Source organism: Homo sapiens, chromosome 9 (genome assembly GCF_000001405.40).
Source record: "Homo sapiens chromosome 9, GRCh38.p14 Primary Assembly".
Classification (NCBI taxonomy): domain Eukaryota; kingdom Metazoa; phylum Chordata; class Mammalia; order Primates; family Hominidae; genus Homo; species Homo sapiens.
The window spans coordinates 113,275,647-113,294,604 of record NC_000009.12 but is presented as its reverse complement, the minus strand read 5'-3'; the positions used below and the strand labels follow the sequence as shown (position 1 = coordinate 113,294,604).

The window sequence follows — 18,958 nt, the reverse complement described above, 5'->3', positions numbered from 1 at the left end:
TACAGGCGTGAGCCACTGCGCCCGGCTGAGATCCCATCTCTTAAAAAAAAAAAAAAAAAAAAGGGTGGGGGGCATTATACAAAGTGGAGAGTCCTTAAAAAGCTCAGACTTCGTACAGGAAACAGGCCATGCTGGCTGTACCGGTCCTTTTGTCTGGCCAGTGTGGGGAACCTGTGAAACCTTCATAAGGTCATCAATGGTCAGATGACAGTTCAAATTCAAGCTCCATCACTTGCTAGCTGGCTAAACTTGAGCAAGTGTTTTTGGAGCCTGTTTTGTCCATAAAAAGGGAATAATAAACTCAAAAGATTGTGGGGATTAAACAAGGTATCTGAATGTGCCTGGTATACCATCTAGGTAGGGACTAAGTGTTCTGTGAAACGGTGGCTGTTTATCTTGCCATTTTCACAAATGCCACACCTGGCTTTGTGCTTCTTAACCACTTTCTTACAATGATGTTTTAATTCCTGTGAAGAAATAGCCCACAAGGTATTTGTTCTGTCAAAGGCTTGGATGAAATGTTTTCACCCAACTGCTACCTCTTGGACCAACCAAAAAACAAAGAAAAACAAGTCGAAGGGAACTAATAGCAAAATTTAAACCTGAGAAACTAAAAATCTTTGTTAGCACATTATATCCAATTGCATGCTAATTCACCAGTGTTCTTCATTATTTTACACATACTACAAAGAAGAAAAAAAGTTCTTTTCATCATAATCTATGAAATAGAATTCATTAATACCTGAACAATAGTGAAGTGAGCAACAGAGGGTAGTCCTGAGAATTCAGAAGCTGAACAACTACATAGGAAATGCAACTATTTGGTTATAATTGAAATCAGATTAAAAACAGTATGTTTAGGTCAGGCACAGTGACTCATGCCTGTAATCCCAGCATTTTGGGAGGCCAAGGCAGGATTGCATGAGCCCAGAAATTTGAGACCGGCCTGGGCAACAAAGTGAAATCGTGTCTCTACCAAAAAATCAAAAAAATTAGCTAGGCATGGTGGCATCCTCCTGTGATCCCAGTTACACAGGATGAGGGGATGAGGCAGGAGAATCATTTGAGCACAGGAAGTCAAGGCTGTGGTGAGCTGTGTTCGCACTACTGCACTCCAATCTCGGCGACAAAGCGAGACCCTGTCTCAAAATGAAACAAAACAAACCAGTTGTTTGGCTATATATCACACATTCAGGGTCCACAGAATAGAGCTGACCAAAGCCATTGTCAACCTCTCTGCAACAGCAAATTAAGTTTTTTTGAGATGGAGTCTTGCTCTGTTGCCCAGGCTGTAGTACAACGGTGTGATCTTGGCTCACTGCAACCTCCGCCTCCCAGGTTCAAGCGATTACATACGTGAGCCACCGTGCCCGGCCAAGAAGCCTTTCTTTAATAACTCTCCTCTGTAGACAACCTTTTCTTCTTCCAAATTCCTATATATTTTTTTGAATTTACTGTGTAATTTGAGAGTTCAGAGGCTGTATAGTTGAGGTGAAAAGAGGTGCATGACAGACAAGTTAAGAATTGTAATTGAGTCCAGGCCTGGCTTACTGGCAGTCTGGCCCAAAATGCAAACAGCCTTCTATTTTAAAAAAAATTGTTAACAAGGTGCTAAGGAGACATAAATCAGAGTAATCCATATTTGAGATCATCCATTATATCCCAAACCAAAAAAAAGAGACCTCTATGGACCAATGGCTAGGATTCAGAAAATGCTTAACTATAGAAAATAATTCTTTATAGGGTAGTTTTGTAACAGGATTTTACCGTAGCAAATGTGGAATAAAGAAAAGGTTTAGGTTTAGGAACACCCATTAGGGTTTTTTCGTTACTTCAACATAAAGTACCCTTTAATACACGAAGTACATCCTTTAAACAGCCAAGAGAAAGGAGGTTGTACAATAGAGACGTCATGTTTGCTTTCTAAACATTTGTTTGACTCCTGACACAATGGTTTTGCTTTGGGGTAACATGAAGGTTGCCAAACTTCAAAGTAAAAAAAAAGATATTTTCTGACAAAGCAAATGTTCAGTTCAGAGTTGCCTGATGCTGTCAGCATTCCAAGCAAACTCAATAGGAAGAGGTGAAGTCTTCTTCACTGTATAACCATCGGCGTGGCTGCGGTCTACTGCTTCACATCCCATTCTCCAGGGAAAGGAAAAGTGCTCGCTATGATGCATTGTTTAACCAATGAGTGGTGAGATGTGCCTCTTTACCTGAGGGCTTCCAGACTATAGTTCAGCCACCTTGCTCTCTGGGTCATATGTAGTCCTGAAGCATGTACCATGTTATGGAAAGCCAAGTTTCAAGAATTAAAAATGCAGAGTCAGTCACAATCCTGGGTGCTGTGAGGAAGGCTATAAGGCATTCGAACAAATTTTTTTTTTTTTTGAGACAGGGTCTTGCTCTGTCACACAGGCTAGAGTGCAATGGCGCAATCTCGGCTCACTGCAACCTCTGCCTCCCAGGCTTAAGCAATCCCTCCCACCTCAGCCTCCCAAGTAGCCGGAATCACAGGCAGAAGCCACCGCGACCAGCTAATTTTAGTATTTTTTTGCAGAGACGGCATTTGCCATGTTGCCCAGGCTCGTCTTGAACTCCTGAGCTCAAGCGATCTACCCACCTCGGCCTCCCAAAGTGCTAGGATTACAGGCGTGAGCCACCACGCCCGGCCAAACAAAAGATTAATAAAAACAATGTCTACACAGTTCGTGGCAGGGCGTAAAAAGGTAATAAATTTTCAACCGTGAGAGGGGTTCCCCATCACCTAGGGATTGGGCTGCCTTCCTGGAGTGGGGGCTGACATGGAAATCCAATTCTACTGAGGGTCTATGCATGGTAATTGGCAGAAAACATGATAGAACTAAACACTTCAATTCTTCTCGTTTGAGGAAAACAGCTCCTTAGAGAGAGCTTGAGGTTCAAGTCCTTTTCCCATTGTCATCTATTCAGCCATCCACAGCTTGAAGGTCCTGTCATATGAGCAAGTGGCTATGAGCTGCCCATCGGAAGAAATATCTAGGCCCATCACTTTGCCTTCGTGGCCAGCCAGAGTCTTCAGCGGGGACCAGCCTGGGTGCGTCCAGATCTTGGCTGTGTTATCATAGGCACCAGTAAGCAAGAAGTTCCCATGGATAGCTACAGGAGAAGAGAAGGGGAATTGCTTGAGGAATTCAAGTATTCAAAAGAGAAGACAAAAGCACAAAAGTCTGCAAAAACATACTATTTTTAAAAAAACTTGTTTCTACAGACTTAAGGGAACAAATAACAGTAAGGTCTTTTGGCTCATTCCCTGACCGAGAATCTATTCAGAATAATATTAAGGACTCAGTGCTCAGAGCATCCATGGAGGAAAGAATGAAGCAAAGCACTCATGAAAGTCTGCTTTACTTCCTGCAACGAGAAGCGTGCTTTCCCACAGATCTAAGGGTATGGCAGAGGGAAGGAAATTATAATTTGCTCCTTTACCAGTAGGTCAATTTCTCTCCTGTTTTACTGCTCAGTTAAGCTAAAGCCTGGCCTGCATTCCACGGGAACACAATACTGTTTGTCTGTGTCATTTAGACGTAAAATAGGAGGAAAGCTTACGCTCAAACTTGACACCAGTCACTAAGTTCTGATGAGCAGGGATGGTGTAGACGCAACGCCGCTGTCGGAGGTCCCACACTTTGCAGGTGTTGTCACCACTGCCGGTTGCAATGTGATAGCTGTGGATTGGATGCAGTATTGAAGTTAGAAATAGAGTACTTACTGACCCAGAACCCTTTTTCGCCCCTCATTCAGTGTGTTTATTTTACCCATTGGGGGAGAAATTTATTCCATAGATTTCTTTCAGGTGGCCTTCTAAGAACATGATACAACGTCCTGTGCGTAGGTCCCAAACTCGACCAAATGCATCCAGTCCCCTGAGAAAATAATTTAGAAATGAACACTTTGAATCCAGTTCTCTGTGGAAGCAGGTATAGGTAAGAGGTGAGAGTACTGAACTGCCCCTGACTACATGGGAGAAGCCTTACCCAGTGCCAGCCAAAGAGCCATCTTGATGGAAGGCAATGTCATACACACCCATGCTATGGCCTTCCTGATGCAGGATCTCCTCTTGAGCCTCCAAATCCCATAAGCGCCATGAACGGTCATAGCTAAAACCAAATCACACTAACAATCAACCAGCTGATATTTATTCAGTTTCTACAACACATAAAGTATTCTAAGCCATTATAGCTTAAGTTATTAATGCTTCTGAAACTATTCATATAACCATATTAACAGGAAGCTCCTTTCTGACATAAACAATGACTCAACAACTAAGCTTATCTGCCTTAGGTGCTAGCTGAAAACCATGGAATCGCTGTAAACCTCTAGGGCTTTTTTTTTTTTCTTCTTTTGAGACAGAGTCTCACTCTGTTGCCCAGCCTGGAGCACAGTGGCGCAATCTTGGCTCACTGCAACCTCCACCTCCCGGGTTCAAGCCATTCTCCTGCCTCAGCCTTCTGAGTAGCTGGGACTACAGGTGTGCGCCACCATGCCCAGCTAATTTTTGTATTTTTCATAGAGATGGGGCTTCACTATGTTGGCCAGGCTGGTCTCGAACTCCTGAGCTCAGGTGATCCACCCACCGTGGTCTTCCAAAGTGCTGGGATTATAGGTGTGAGCCACCATGCCCAACCTAGTGGCTATTGTAATAACAGGATTCCCCAAGAATGGCCCAGCAAAGACTCTGTTACCTTCTTTCTTCCTCCACTGTTATATTCTTTCATTCATCAAGCATTTATACATTTACTAGGCCCTAAATTGGATGTTGGGGATACAAAAATCACTCATACACAAATAGATCAATGGAAGAGAATAGGAAGTACAGAAATAACCACACATATATGGTCAGATGATTTTCAACAAGGGTACTGAAACAATTCCAACAGAGAAAGGAAAGTCTCTTCAATACAAGGTGGTATAACTGACTATGCACATGGAAATAAAGACAAAAGAGACAAACACAATTTAAAAAACCAGGCAAAGCATATGACAGAGCACTCAAGAGCAATAATGATCAGGGTAATAAGAATGAAAATCACGGGAGATCACTACACACCTGCTAGATTGGGCAAAATGGTAAGACTGACAACACCAAATGTTAACAGGGATGTGAAGTAACCAGAACTCCGGGAATGTAAAATGGTGTAACCGCTTTGGAAAACTGGTGGGGAGTTTAGAAAAAGTTAAATATACATCTCATACCTCTACCCTATGACCCAGCAATTGTACTCATGTCCACAAAAAGCCTGGTACAAGAATATTTATAGCAGCTTCATTCTGACTGGCCCAGACCTGGAAACAGCCCAAGTGTCCATCAACAGGAGAATGGATAAACTATGGCACAGTCATAAAAATGAATAACCCCCAGCAATAAAAAGGAATTACTGATACATGCAACAACATGAATGACTCTTAACAATGTTATGCTGAAAGAAGCCTGCCACAAATGAATTCACAGTATGAATAGACATAATTAATTTGTGGTGATAGAAGTCAGATCAGCAGTTGCTTTAGAAGGGGGAGTTGGCTGGAAAAGGGCATGAGGGACCTTTCTGGGGTGATGGACTATTCTCTATATTGACAGAGGTGTCGATCACAGGAATGGTACGCGTTTGTAAAGACTGACAGCATTGTACACTTAAAATAAATCCATTCCATTGTATGTAAATTATAACTTAATGGAAAAGTTCTCTAACAGATTCTAGCCTCCCTGAACTTACAGAACCAGGAAGGGAGACTTATATACCTGTAGCATTGGACAAGAGTGAAAATCCTTGTTTTCTGGTAATTTGTAACTCTGAAATTTCAGATTAATTGTAATTTAAAGGCAAATATGGCTGGGCGCGTTACCTGTTATCTATAATCCCAGCACTTTGGGAGGCTGAGGCGGGAAGATCACCTGAGGTCAGGAGTTTAAGACCAGCCTGGCCAACATGGTGAAACCCTGTCTCTACTAAAAATAAAAAAATTAGCTGGGCATGGTGGCACGCGCCTGTAGTCCCAGCTACTCGGGAGGTCGAGGCAGGAGAATTGCTTGAACCCGGGAGACGGCGGTTGCAGTGAGCCGAGATCGCGCCACTGCACTCCAGCCTGGGTGACAGAGTGAGACTCCACCTCAAAAAAAAAAAAAAGGCAAATATACTTAGCTCTCACTATATTAAACATTCTCCTCTGATTCCAATTCCCTGCAGCCCAAGAAAATCCTACCTGAAGATCTCTGCTCTAAAAATTTACCTGGCAGATAGCCATAAAGGGTTAAGAAGATGCTACAGGCCTATATGGATAAAACAATAACAGGATGGCTCACCAGGTGGTGCCCAGGAAACGTCCTGAAGGATGCCACATTACCCGCGCCACACGCACTGTATGGCCTTCAATATCTGCCACTGGTTCATCACTGGAAAGGAACCAAACATATAAACAATTTTATAGACATATAAATAGTCACAAAACTGCTTACCTTCTGTGCAGACATACCCATTCTGTACAACACGAGAGGCTAAATTGTAACTACACTTGTAAACTACTTTGGCCCAATAAGCAAAATAGTCATTCTGCACCAAAGGAGTACCTGGATTCTAGAAAGAAAACATGCTTTGGAAGAGATATAAGGACACAGAAATCACATAGTTTTGGTACAAGTGGATTACAGATAAACCTTTTTCAAATTTAGGCCTGTTCCAAGATCCAAATGAAAAAGGAACTCCTAAATAGAGATGAGGCTTAGTCTCCTTTTGGTGGCCATTAAATTCTGCTACCCAGCAACCACCAAAAGATCTGAACATCAGCAAAAGGAAATAAACATGAACTCTAAGGAACGCAATTAAAAAGGGAACTTTGTCAATGTGCATACACAGAACAAGCCAAAGCCCAAGGGGAATAAACATTGCTAAGTATTACCAAAGCCAATTAAAACTCACTGCGCTCCTAAGTGAGACCCTGTCTGGTGAGGAGTGAAGACATTAATTAGCTCTCATAAAAATTCTCAAGTAAAAACCTTCATGTGTTTTCCCAAAGAAAGAAAACTAAACAATTAAATTCAGATGCCTTTTGGCCAACAGGGTGCTTCCGAAGTTTTTTTTTTTTTGGAAAACAATCACATAAACACATTTTTAAAAACTGTTGTAGTTGGAAAATACATTCTAGGTAAAGGATGATGCTATTGCGAGGAGACATCTCCGTGGTAATACTGCTAGACAGAACCTCACTTTCCTCTCCCCTGTGGCTGTTTGCTAAGAACCAACGAACTGCCAAGAATATTATATTTAGTTCATTGTTAATTTATCATGTAGGAGGTAGGCTGGATCTTTCTGGAATAAATGGAGCTAGGAAATAGTGGTCACTAGGCTATAGACAAAAATCAAGATCCAAAGTTAACAGGTAAGAAAAAACGGACATAACTCCTTTAGTAAGAAAAGGCCTAAGAATGAAATCTTCCACTTACTTCATTTTCACACTAGGTTACCTTGACTCTTAAACCATCTTGGGGGTTAAATGCCAGATTTTTTTTTTTGTTCTTTCAAGACGGAGTCTTGCTCTGTCACCCAAGCTGGAGTGCAGTGTGCAATCTCGGCTCACCACAACCTCCATTTCCCGGGTTTAAGCAATTCTCCTGCCTCAGCCTTAAGGTGTGAGCCACTGCGCATGGCCTAAATGCCAGATTTTTACTGAGGTCCTGGGGACCAACCAATCAAACATCTACTTTAGTGATGGCAGTATGGGCCACAGAACAGTGATATTCACCTGTCGAGACTCCAAAGCTTCACAGAGCCATCAGCCGCACAAGAGGCCAGGTTGACATCTTTTGGGTCCAAGGAGACAGTGGATTTGGGATGGAATACAATTGCTCCTACATTTGTGTTATGCCCTAAAGGAGTGTAAGAGATGCAAGTTAAAAGGTTCCTGCCTCTTTATAACCCATGTTATATACTAGGGAACATGTGGACATACAGAGTATTCAAGTGACTATTCAACTATTAAAACATGAACTATTTTAATTTAAGCTAATATTTAAATTACATTTTTAAAAAAGCAAAACACAAAAAAACCCATTTTGGTTTTTGGTTTAGAGATTATAAAATGCCAGAGTGTGACTGCACATGAGAGAAAAGTGGATGTGTAGGAAGTTGTGATAGTCCAGTCTTGCAGCCAGAGAAAACCAAGTCAAATCAAATCAAGGATTAATGCTGTGTGTATGGGGTCTGAGTGTCAAGCAGAGTTTAAGGCTTAACTGAGTTCACACTGGGAAAAAGACCGAGATTTGGATAAGACTCTAACTTACCTCGAAGAGTGTGAAGGAGGTTGCAATCAGGAACAGACCAGAGCTTGCAAAGCCCACTCCTATCAAATACAAAGGAAAGCATCTCAGCCAGGGTTGGTCTGGGAAGGAAAAGGTACCTTGGTAATATTACTAAAGGACAATCTCTTCTCACCCCCAATAAACTTTACAATGGCTGACAGAAAAATAAAAGCCTTATAGTTAGAAGGGTTATAGAAGAAAAAGCTACCTCCAGCCCACACGCAACCAGAGGCTTTTACTGGACTATAATTAACACTACACCAGTAGCCATTCTCCTTAACTTTTGGATCCACTTGTGAGGGAAGGTGGGGCAAATTAAACTATCCAATAATACGAATATTAATAGTGATACTGTCCTTAAATATGAATAGTATTTTGCTGATTACAAAGTATTTAAATTTTTTTTTTGAGAAACAGTGTCACTCTGTCACCTAGGCTGGAGTGCAGTAGTGTGATCACAGTTCACTGCAGCCTCAACCTCCCAGGCTCAAGCAATTCTATCACCCAGCCTCCTGAGTAGCTGGGACTAACAGGCGCATGCCACCACACCTGGCTAACGTTTTAAAAAATTAAATAAATTTTTAAAAATTTTTTGGGCCAGGCGCTGTGGCTCACACCTGTAATCCCAGCACTTTGGGAGGCCAAGGCGGGCAGATCACAAGGTCAGGAGATCGAGCCCATCCTGGCTAACACGGTGAAACCCTGTCTCTACTAAAAATACAAAAAATTAGCTGGGTGCGGTGGCGGGTGCCTGTAGTCCCAGCTACTTGGGAGGCTGAGGTAGGAGAATGGCGTGAACCCAGGAGGTGGAGCTTGCAGTGAGCCGAGATCGCGCCACTGCACTCCAGCCTGGCCGAAAGTGTGACACTCCGTCTCAAAAAAAAAAAAAAAAAAAAAAAAAAAAAAAAAAAAAAAAAAAAAAAAAAAAATTTGTAGAGACAGGGTCTCACTATTGTTGCCCAGCCTGGTCTCAAACTCCTGGGCTCAAGTGATCCTCCTGCCGTGGCCTTCCAAAGTGCTGGGATTACAAGTGTGAGCCACCATGGCTGGCTGGCCTTAAACTTTTTAGAGACTTCTTATTTTGGAAATTTTTCAACAAATTACTTTTATATCTATTATCTCGGATGATCTTTCTAACAGACCTGTGAAGCAGGTACGGCAGGAACGATCAAACTTTATAGTGAAGGTAATGAGGCTTGGAGAGGTGGACTCATTTGTGCAGAACCTTGGCTTTCTCCTGAACCCATCTAAAGGTCAGCCTAGTCAAGTAGCTCCTGTGTATTCAATCTAAGTTTCCTTTCTCATTAGATAGCCATGTCCCACAGAAAAACACAACCAAACTCAAACAAAACAACAAAGTTACCACATCCTGAGTTTTCTGCATATGTGGTGATAAGAAAATAAAACAAAGATAAACCAATAATTAACGTTTAACGAGTCCTTACTACATACCAGGCACTGTCAAGGCAAAATGCCTTGCAAACACTACCTCATCCCACTTTACAGGTAAGAACACTGAAGCTTACAGAAATTAAGTATCTTAGCGAGGTCACATAACTGAAAAAGAAAAGCCAGACTGAGTTATGGATACTAGTTGGTCTATAAACTCACTACAGGACCTGTTCCAAAATACTAGTGTCAAGAATGTGACAGAGTGCTTTGTGTAATGGATCTCTGGGGTCACTGGTGAAGAGCGAGAACGGCTAAACCAAGGCTACATTGTATTATACAACAGGTAGAGCACTGACTGACATCTGTAGTTTGGTGTGATCATGAGAAGCAGAGAAAGAGGACGTAGAAATAGACGTCTAACGCAAATGCTAATTTTCTTCCTGAGCCTGTTCCCCATTTAGGAAAAAATGTCATTGTAAAATGGAACTTACCAACAAGCTGTGGCCAGCATCTTGGAATTGGGACTAAAGTGACAGTAGGAGATAGGCCGATCATCCCCAATCTGACTGCAAAAATTATTCAAAGACTTAAAAAGAAAAAAAATACACACACGGTGATCATTAATAGGTTAATCTAAGAGCTCCTTTGCTTTTCCACCATAAAAAGAACAACAAAGCAGCTTTTCAGTTTTAACCCATCCCAAGATTCTTCTATGGTTTTGTTGCTGCTGTTAGAAGACACATACATTGATAAATGAAGTTATATGAAACTCCAGCATGCTGTTTTCTATAGTCTTTTTTTTTTTTTTTTTTTGAGACAGAGTCTTGCTGTGTTGCCCAGGGTGGAGTGTAGTGGCGTGATCTTGGCTCACTGCAACCTCCGCCTCCCGGGTTCAAGCAATCCTCCCGTCTCAGCCTCCCAAGTACCTGGGATTATAGGCACATGCTATCACACCTGGCAAATTTTTGTATTTTTAGTAGAGACAGGGTTTCACCATGTTGACCAGGCTGGTCTCAAACTCCTGAGGCTCAAGTCATCCGCCTGCCTCTGCCTCCCAAAATGCTGGGATTACAGGACTGAGCCACTGTGCCCAGATGTTTTCTACAGTCTTAGGATCACAACTTCTGAGTCAGCTAAATATAAACAGAAAACCCCAGAGAAACTCTGACATATTAACGGGGAGAAATAAAGAATAGAACCATAGGCCTCTGCTGAATACAAAGCACAGTAAGCTCCTGCCACATTAACTGATGGCTCCTTCCATGTCACAGCAGCTCAACTTAAGCAGGGAGGAATCACTCTAGTTGCCTCTACCTTCCCAGAGGTGAGCCAAAGTAGAAAAATCAAATAAACATGAAGAACCTTTAAGATGTGGGACAATTGCTGGGAGCATCTTACCCGGAGAGACTTGTGCAGCTCTTGCATCTGGGAGGTCCTTGTTGTCTCAGGAATCTCCTTATGGAGTCGGGCCTCTTCCAAGCGTTTCATTGCCCTGCGACACAGAAACACCATCACCAGGAGCAACAGGGTTGTAAACAAGGACCCACATGTATCCCTACTCTACCCCTCAATTTCATTTAACAACCATAGTCATTATCCAGCACTCAGTTCCTGAGAGGAAACACACACAAAAAATATGCTTCTTTCTTCTACTGGAGGCTCTCTTTACCTGGGCAACGAATAATTAGCAATCCATAGTCTTGCCACCTTCAAGCTATTTGGTCCTTCATGATACCAGGTTTGCTGATACTGAAAGGCAAATTAAGAGCAGAAAGGTCAAATCTGAAGCATTCTACTCCTCTTATAACTGTCATTTCTCCATTTTAACTGCCCAGAAGGAAGGTGAATTCATTCGGTAATAGGATGAAATCAGGCAGAGGACTTTCTACTGAATTTTTTTCTATGATATGTAACTACATGGTTATACCAGGAATGCCATGATTCTTTCCTGACTGGAAAACTCACTTAGCTCCATTCATACTTACAAAGGAACCAAAACTACTGCCAGCAACTCTTCTTGAATGGTAGAGCCTTCAAAAACATTTCCCCCAACATCTCAGCAAAACAAACCATTGAAAGCAGAAAACGAGAGACCTATCCCCTCATTTCCTTCATGTTTATACTGTGAAGTTAAAGACATGTTCTACCTCTTCTTTGGACTTTTTAGACTTCTCATCATCCTTTTTGGTCTTTTTCAAGGCATCAGTACCGACAACTGAGAGGATATTTCTTAACCTGTTAAAAAAAAAAAAAAAGATCAGAATTTAAACATGGTTGAGATAATACTGTTTTTAAAGTACACTTTAACACAGTTTTAAACACTGTTATTAAAGTTCCCCTAAGATGGGAGCAAGCCTTTACTATTCTCTCACTGTTCAAACCACCTAGCAACCTTTTTTTTTTCTTTTTAAGAGATGAGGTCTTGTTGTTGCCCAGGGTGGAGTGCAGTGGCATGATCATGGGTCACTGCAGCCTCAACCTCCTGAGCTCAAGCGATCCTCCCACTCCAGCCTCCCGAGTGGCTGGGACTACATGTACACTGCTACAACTGGCTAATTTTTAAATTTTTCTGTAGAGAGAAGGGCTTGCTATGTTGCCCAGGCAAGTCTTGAACTTCTGGGCTCAAGTGATCCTCCTGCCTCAGCCTCCCAAAGTGCTGGGATTACGGGCATGAGCCACTATACCCGGCCCTCCAGGAACCTTCTTTAAGAGTCAAGTGGGGATGGCTAAACTCCCAGTGTGGTTTCTCCCACTCAGTCTTCTCTATTTGGAAATTTCCAAAATTCAACTATAAGCAATTACTCTATACAGTTTAGAGTCAATGAGCCCCTACACTGCTACCACTTGGTCTGTGAAGACTGCCAACTTTCACTCAGTGCCACAATGTACTGGATACTGACTCAGGTGCTAACTATACAGTGATGACTAGGAATCAGTTCTTGATTTCAAGTAGCTTAGTCCTGGGGAAACAACAGAGAGTACTGGCAAACTATAATCCATTATATTACCTATCACTATAGCAGTAAGCACAGAGGGCTAGAGGGGACTTTGTAACGGGCATCTAACTAAGCTTAGAGGATCAGGGAAGGCTTCATTAAAAAAAGGTAATATGTAAATTGAGTCCTCAGTTAATCAGGTCAAGGGGGTCAAGAATGAGAAAATGTCAGGCAGAGGGTTAAACAAATAAGGCCTGGAGGTAAGAAAAACATGTTGAGCTTGCAGTCACAAATAATTCAATATGGCTGGAGCGTAGAACATAGAAGAGGACTGGTGAAGAATAGGGCTGCAAATGCAAGGAGGAGCCAGGTCACAAAGAATTGCTAATGCCACGCTCAGGAGGATTTACAGATGAGAAAGATCCCTGAAACAGTACAAAGAATGGATTAAAAGGGAAGAATAATGGCAGGGAAATCAGACAGTACTGTTGTAGTGACGCTCTGAGTCACAACCGTGGACTGAAATTCAGATAGTAGCAGTAGTGACTCAAAGGATTCATTTAAGGAACATAATAATGAATAAGATAGACTTTGCTGGTGGAAAAAACAAACTAAACAATAATAAAAAAGTATACCCTTTGAAAAGGCTAATAAAATAACATACTATGACAGAGAACAGAGGGGTTAGGTGTGACGAAAGGCTTCTTTGAATAGGTGGCATCTATGCTGAAACGAAAGAATAAGAAGTTTGACAGGGATCCAGGTTAATAAAAAATGAAGAAGAAAGGCCGGGCGCGGTAGCTCACATCTGTAATCCCAGCACTTTGGGAGGCCCAGGCAGGCGGATCACTTGAGGAGGTGTTGAGAGGATCACTTGAGGAGGTGTTCAACACCTGGCCAACGTGTTGAAACCCCGTCTCTACTAAAAATACAGAAATTAGCCAGGCATGGTGGCACATGCCTGTAGTCCCAGCTACTTGGGAGGCTGAGGCAGGAGAATGGCTTGTACCTGGGAGGTGGAGGTTGCAGTGAGCTGAGATTGCACCACCGCACTCCACCCTGGGTGACAGAGCGAGACTCCGTTTCAAAGAAAAAAAAAGGAAGAAAAAAAGCCTCTAAAAGACAAGACAGAAGAATAAAAGTAGACCAATTATGTGGAAAGACATAAAAAGAACTAGCATATTCCATAAGGACCAATGTGGCTATTCTAGTAAATTGGGGAAGGGAGACATGAGTAAGGCTGAAGACCTTACAGACCATGGTAAGAGTTTTTTACTCCAAGTATGAGAAGACAATCTAGGATTTTAAGCAAGCAATTAACACAACATGTTTGGGGCTATCACAACAGTGCAGATTTGAAAGCAGTAAAGATAGAGCAAAGAAGATAGCTGGAGTTGTATCTCGCAAGTAGAACAGACCAGATTTTGCTAATGGATTATAAAGGAGGCTAGGCAGATTTTCAACTAAGAATTGTATGAGTATAGGAGAGAGGTGGGGAAATATTTCAATTCAGATGTCTCAAGTTTGAAGTACCTGTGGGATACCTAAGCTGCAGTGAGAGATTTGGGAATCATCAGAACACACAGTGAATGATGCCATGGGAGTAGAGCTGATCACCAAGGGCAAGTAGAGAAAAAGGCAGCCTGTAAAGGGCAGGCAGAGAAAAAGAGGTTTAGAAGGTAAGTGAGAAGAATTAGCTAGTGAGAGAAGAGGAAAATCAAGAGGATTTGTTATTAGGAGAGTGAAGGAAAGGGAGTAGTTCAAGGAGGGAGTATTTCAAGGAGGAGTGGCTGGCAGTATACTAGGGCTATTCTTAGTAAAGGTGGATTGGTGATCTTAACAAAGAGCAATTTTAATGTGGTAGGGGTTGGTCAGTTTGCAGCAGGTTGAAGAGTAAATAAGGGTAAGGACCTCAAGGGAGTAATAGAAAAAACCCTTCCAACAAGCTGGATGATGAAGGGTAGATGAGACAGTGGACAGAGAGACCAGAGGGGCTCCTCATAATTGTGTGTGACTAGACCACAACTAAGACTTCGCAACCTGCAAATAACAAGAGGGCATTATCTGAGGATGGTACCCCTCTTCAATAAAATCCAAGAAACATTTATCATTGTTCTATGTCATTGATATGGAATGCATTTGATGTCTCAATTTTCAAAGCCCAACAACAAATGTTTATCCAATTCAAAACTCGCACTGGGGAGGGGAGGCAAGGGAGCATGTTAGCACCCTCTTCCAAGTCTATAAAGAAAAACGGGCCAGGCACGAAGGCTCACGCTTGTAATCCCAGCACTTTGGGAGGCCAAGGTGGGTAAATCATTTGAGGTTAGGAGTTCAAGACCAGCCTGGCCAACATGGTGAAACCCTGTCTCTACTAAAAATACAAAAATATAAAAAATAACTAAAAATACAAAAAAGAAAAATGTGGTGGCAGGTGCCTGTAATCCCAGCCACTTGGGAGGCTGAGGCAGGAAAATCGCTTGAACCCGGGAGGCGGAGGCTGCAGTGAGCCGAGATCACGACGCTGCACTCAAGCCTGGGTGACAGAGCAAGACTCTGTCTCAAAACACAAAACAAAACAAAACAAAACAAAACAAAACAAAACAAAAACGAACAAACACAAAAAAGAAACATTAATAGTGCGGTAAAAATTGGCCTAAGACAGATTATGGGCTAACTCATATAAACACAGTAAGATATTGTTAACATGATTTGAGACATTCTATTAAAGTTCAACTAAATGATCAACCAAAATTTGGAGTAGAACCCTGTGATTATAATAAAGAAAAAAAGTAAATATTTAGAAAGGCAACCTTTCTCTTCTTTCAGCAGGACCCTCTCCAAAAAGTGTGATGGGTTCCCCCAAGGCTCTAAGGCAAGCTTTGACCTCTGAGTCATCTGTGGAAACATTGATCTGCCGGGCTCGCTTCCTTCTCTCAAACTCAGCCAATACTTCTGCCTGTCGCTCGCTGATATGCTCTTCAATTTCAAACACTTCTCCTATTAAAAAGAAAACAGGCAACATCAGCAGATCTTCTTCAAATAGAGAGAAATAATTTCTAGTAATTGCAGTCTGTGTATGCCCTGAGGGAAAAGTAACTGTCTATTACACATTTTATAGTTTACTGTTTTTCAGTTTATTAAATTATGCCAAACACATAAACCTAAATGACACAGCTTCAAAAGGCAAGAAAATGGTTCAAGCCACCTCTTGTTTCATTTATTAACTTTGTGCCTATATAAACACACACTTTGGCTGAGACCAGCAAGTAAGAGTACAGAACATCTTTTGCAAATGAGTTAACTAGGCTGTCTATCCAGAAGATGTAACAGAAACATTATTGTAACAACAGCCAAAGCTATTTATTCTCGAAAGGAGACCCAGTATAGGGATACTTAACAAATCATTAACTACTAAACTGCAAATAATTACCAGGAAAATGAGAGTTCCACAACTATAAGGATTTCTGGATAATCTAGCAATAGTTTTGAAACCCACACCAAAATACAAGTGTGATAAAAAATGAGAGGTACAGTGGTGACGTTATGTTTAAAAACAGTATTAAAAGTTTAAAAAGTCACTAGGCTACAGTGCATGTGTTTAGAAAATGTGTGGGAGGATCAATAAGAAACCTGACAGATGTCCCTACTGCAGAGGAGTCTTCATTTTATGCCCTTTGGCATTGTCTGAATTTCTTAGGACAAATATGCATAATTTTATTTTTAAAATATAGTAGACCTCTCATTACTGACATGGAAAGATATCCTCAATGGTATATAAATGAAAAATGGGGGTTATACAACAATTTACGTATTGTGTTTTCATTTATGGAAAAAATTACATACTTTTTAGCTGTATTAAAATTCTCAGAAAGATATACAATCAATTAATTTTAAAAATACAGGATTTTCTACTTCACACATTTATACATTGATCTTTTAAAAGAAAATAACTTTTTTTTTTGAGACAGGGTCTCGCTCTGTTGTTCAGGCTGGAGTGCAGTGGCACAGTCATGACTCACTGCAGCCTTGAACCCCCACCTCAGAACCCCAATTAGCTGGGAATACAGGCACGTGTCACCATGCCCAGCTAATTTTCTACTTTTTGTAGAGATGGGGTATCACTATTTGCCCAGGCTGGTCTTGGATTCCTGGGCTCAAGCCAGACTCCCGCTTCTCAGCCTCCCAAAGTGCTGGGATTACAGGTGTGAGCCACCAGGCTTGGCCACTATTACTTTTATAATAAAAAAAGATAGCTCAGTCAGGTGCAGTGGCTCACGCCTGTAATCCCAGCACTTTGGGAGGCCGAGGTGGGCGGATCATTTGAGGTCAGGAGTTGGAGACCAGCCTGGGCAACATGGTGAAACCCAGTCTCTACTAAAAATACAAAAATTAGCTGGGTGTGGTGGCGGGCACCTGTAATCTCAGCTAATCGGGAGGCTGAGGCAGGAGAATCCCTTGAACACAAAAGGCAGAGGTTGCAGTGAGCCAAGGTTACGCCACTGCATTCCAGCCTGGGCAAGAGAGTGAGACCCTGTCACACACACACACACACACAAAAAGATTTCACTTTGGGTAAAAAATAATTACAAAACTTCAAAAGGGAGAATATCATGAACCACTCTAGCTGCAAACCAATGCCAGAACTATGTTAGATCTCCAGAAGACAAATGGAATCAATCTGAATCCAAATGTACACTGAATTTTTGATAAGACTGCTCACTCATAGAAGAAAAACTATATAACAGATTGTAAGAAAAAGGCTCTCTGCATGATAATAAGGGGGTAGGCAAAATACAGCCTTATAGCTGCAAGTTTAAGAATTGAAATTCTGCCGGGCACAGTGGCTCACACCTGTAATCCCAGCACTTTAGGAGGACGAGGCGGGCGGATCACAAGGTCAGGAGTTTGAGACCAGCCAGACCAACATGGTGAAACCCCATATCTACTAAATATACAAAAATTAGCCGGGCGTGGTGGTGTGCGCCTGTAATCCCAGCTACTCGGGAGGCTGAAGCAGGAGAACTGCTTGAACCCGGGAGGCGGAGGTTGCAGTGAGCCAAGATCGCACCACTGCACTCCAGCCTGGCGACAGAGCGAGACTCTGTTTAAAAAAAAAAAAATTGTAATTTTTTGACATTATAAAACTGTGGTATTTAAGTTTAGAAAGGTATTCATTACACAAAGAGGTAAAGATGGGCTCACAATTTGCATCTTACCAGAGGTTATATTAATATTTCCAGCTTCGATCCCTGCTTTAAGTCCGTCTTTCCCCAAAATCCCAGACTCTCCTTTGGCCAGACGCTCCCTCTCCTTCTCTTCCAAACTTCCATAATAGATGTGTGGTTTCTTCACGACCGGAGCAACTAAGTCGTCGGGTGCTTTAGTTTTGGTTGCCTGCTAAATCAAAGATCTGCATTAAACTAAGGTTTAATCTTGGCAATTTACCGGACTTCACCAGAGGATGAAGCTCACCCTGAGTTTCACAGTCCTGTTTCCTCTGTAATTGAAAGGACAAATTGGACACTACTTAAGACGCTCTTCATTGATTTGAGGAGGTGAAGGTAGGGTGAGGGTGTTTCAGTCCCTCACTTTGGTTGATGGGATTAATAAAACTAGTGAGGTTCTCTCGGGTATTTTCCTATGAAAGGTTTGCTCTGAAATCTGTTTACTTCATTCCGTTGGAAGTGTTCAATCTCGTGTTTTATGCTTCCCGGATTACTGCTTATCACTGGGGAAATACTAAGGATAGATGAAATAACCAACGCGGTGCTAAAGGATAACAAGTTACAACATTACAAGTGTATACATTTCAAACGTTCCTAGACGTGAGGTAGTAGGAGTTAGTAGGTCTCATTAAAATTCTGAGATCTGCCAAAGGCATAAACCTTGGCCAAGACACTTCCCTATTTCAGAGCACCGTTACTGGATGAGTCGGAAGAGATGCTTGCCCTTTGGGGCTGTAGTGGGAGAGGTGCAAATAAGCTACAGTCCACGAAAGCGCTTAGGGATCAGGAAAACGGTGGTCCGCTGTGTAGGACACCGCTGAGTCCCGCAGCCTTCCTCCTCAGCCCTCCACCGCCTTCTCCCGCTCCTTAACGGCCCCTTCCCGCAGAGATCCCCTTCCCCCTTAGCGCTCCCTGCCAGAGTGAGCTGGGATCCCGGGCTCTGTACCGTGGAAGAGGCTCGCGAGGAAGCCATGCTGGGCTCTGGAGCCGCGAGGCCCCAGCGAAACCCGAACACTCCCTTTCAGACCGTCCACCGCGCGCCCAGCAGAGGGGAAGTGCGTCACTGACAG

General features: G+C 42.3%; 1 protein-coding gene across 6 annotated transcripts, besides 1 other annotated feature; it reads right to left on the bottom strand.

Moving 5' to 3' along the window:
- PRPF4 (pre-mRNA splicing tri-snRNP complex factor PRPF4) lies at nt 1,700–18,947 on the bottom strand. 6 transcript variants are annotated; one of them, NR_136265.2, is made up of 14 exons: nt 18,835–18,947; nt 17,880–18,060; nt 15,474–15,660; nt 11,872–11,959; nt 11,394–11,473; nt 11,123–11,216; nt 10,216–10,310; nt 8,315–8,373; nt 7,777–7,900; nt 6,341–6,430; nt 4,066–4,139; nt 3,798–3,905; nt 3,589–3,707; nt 1,700–3,138 (listed from the first exon to the last, which is right to left on the bottom strand). NR_136265.2 is itself a non-coding variant. In NM_001322267.2 (14 exons), exons 8-14 carry the CDS (start codon nt 8,394–8,396, stop codon nt 2,945–2,947), a joined length of 840 nt encoding a protein of 279 aa, NP_001309196.1. In that variant the 5' UTR covers nt 8,397–8,412; nt 10,216–10,310; nt 11,123–11,216; nt 11,394–11,473; nt 11,872–11,959; nt 15,474–15,660; nt 17,880–18,060; nt 18,835–18,947; the 3' UTR covers nt 1,700–2,944. The 6 variants fall into 6 exon arrangements, 4 of the variants coding, with proteins under 4 accessions (NP_001309196.1, NP_004688.2, NP_001309195.1 ...); NR_136266.2 differs by having other exon boundaries at nt 17,880–18,057; NM_001322267.2 differs by having other exon boundaries at nt 4,017–4,139; nt 8,315–8,412.
- Nucleotides 13,147–13,316: an enhancer, noted in NCBI's record as "experimental_106320 CRE fragment used in MPRA reporter constructs". NCBI's record gives its function as "activates a minimal promoter by MPRAs in K562 erythroleukemia cells, with activity observed for the introgressed 9:116043654 variant allele {active_cell/tissue: K562}" and the evidence as "EXISTENCE:reporter gene assay evidence [ECO:0000049][PMID:34662402]".

What these genes read in the sequence shown, in the direction of transcription:
- PRPF4 (NM_004697.5), bottom strand. Translation starts at nt 18,861, where the DNA reads ATGGCTTCCTCGCGAGCCTCTTCCACG. An exon ending in CCTCCTTCACACTCTTCGAG is followed by an intron (nt 7,901 to 8,314) that starts GTAAGTTAGAGT and finishes ACACTCCTTTAG; the next exon opens with GGCATAACACAAATGTAGGA. An exon ending in GACTGGTGTCAAGTTTGAGC is followed by an intron (nt 3,139 to 3,588) that starts GTAAGCTTTCCT and finishes CTTCTCCTGTAG; the next exon opens with CTATCCATGGGAACTTCTTG.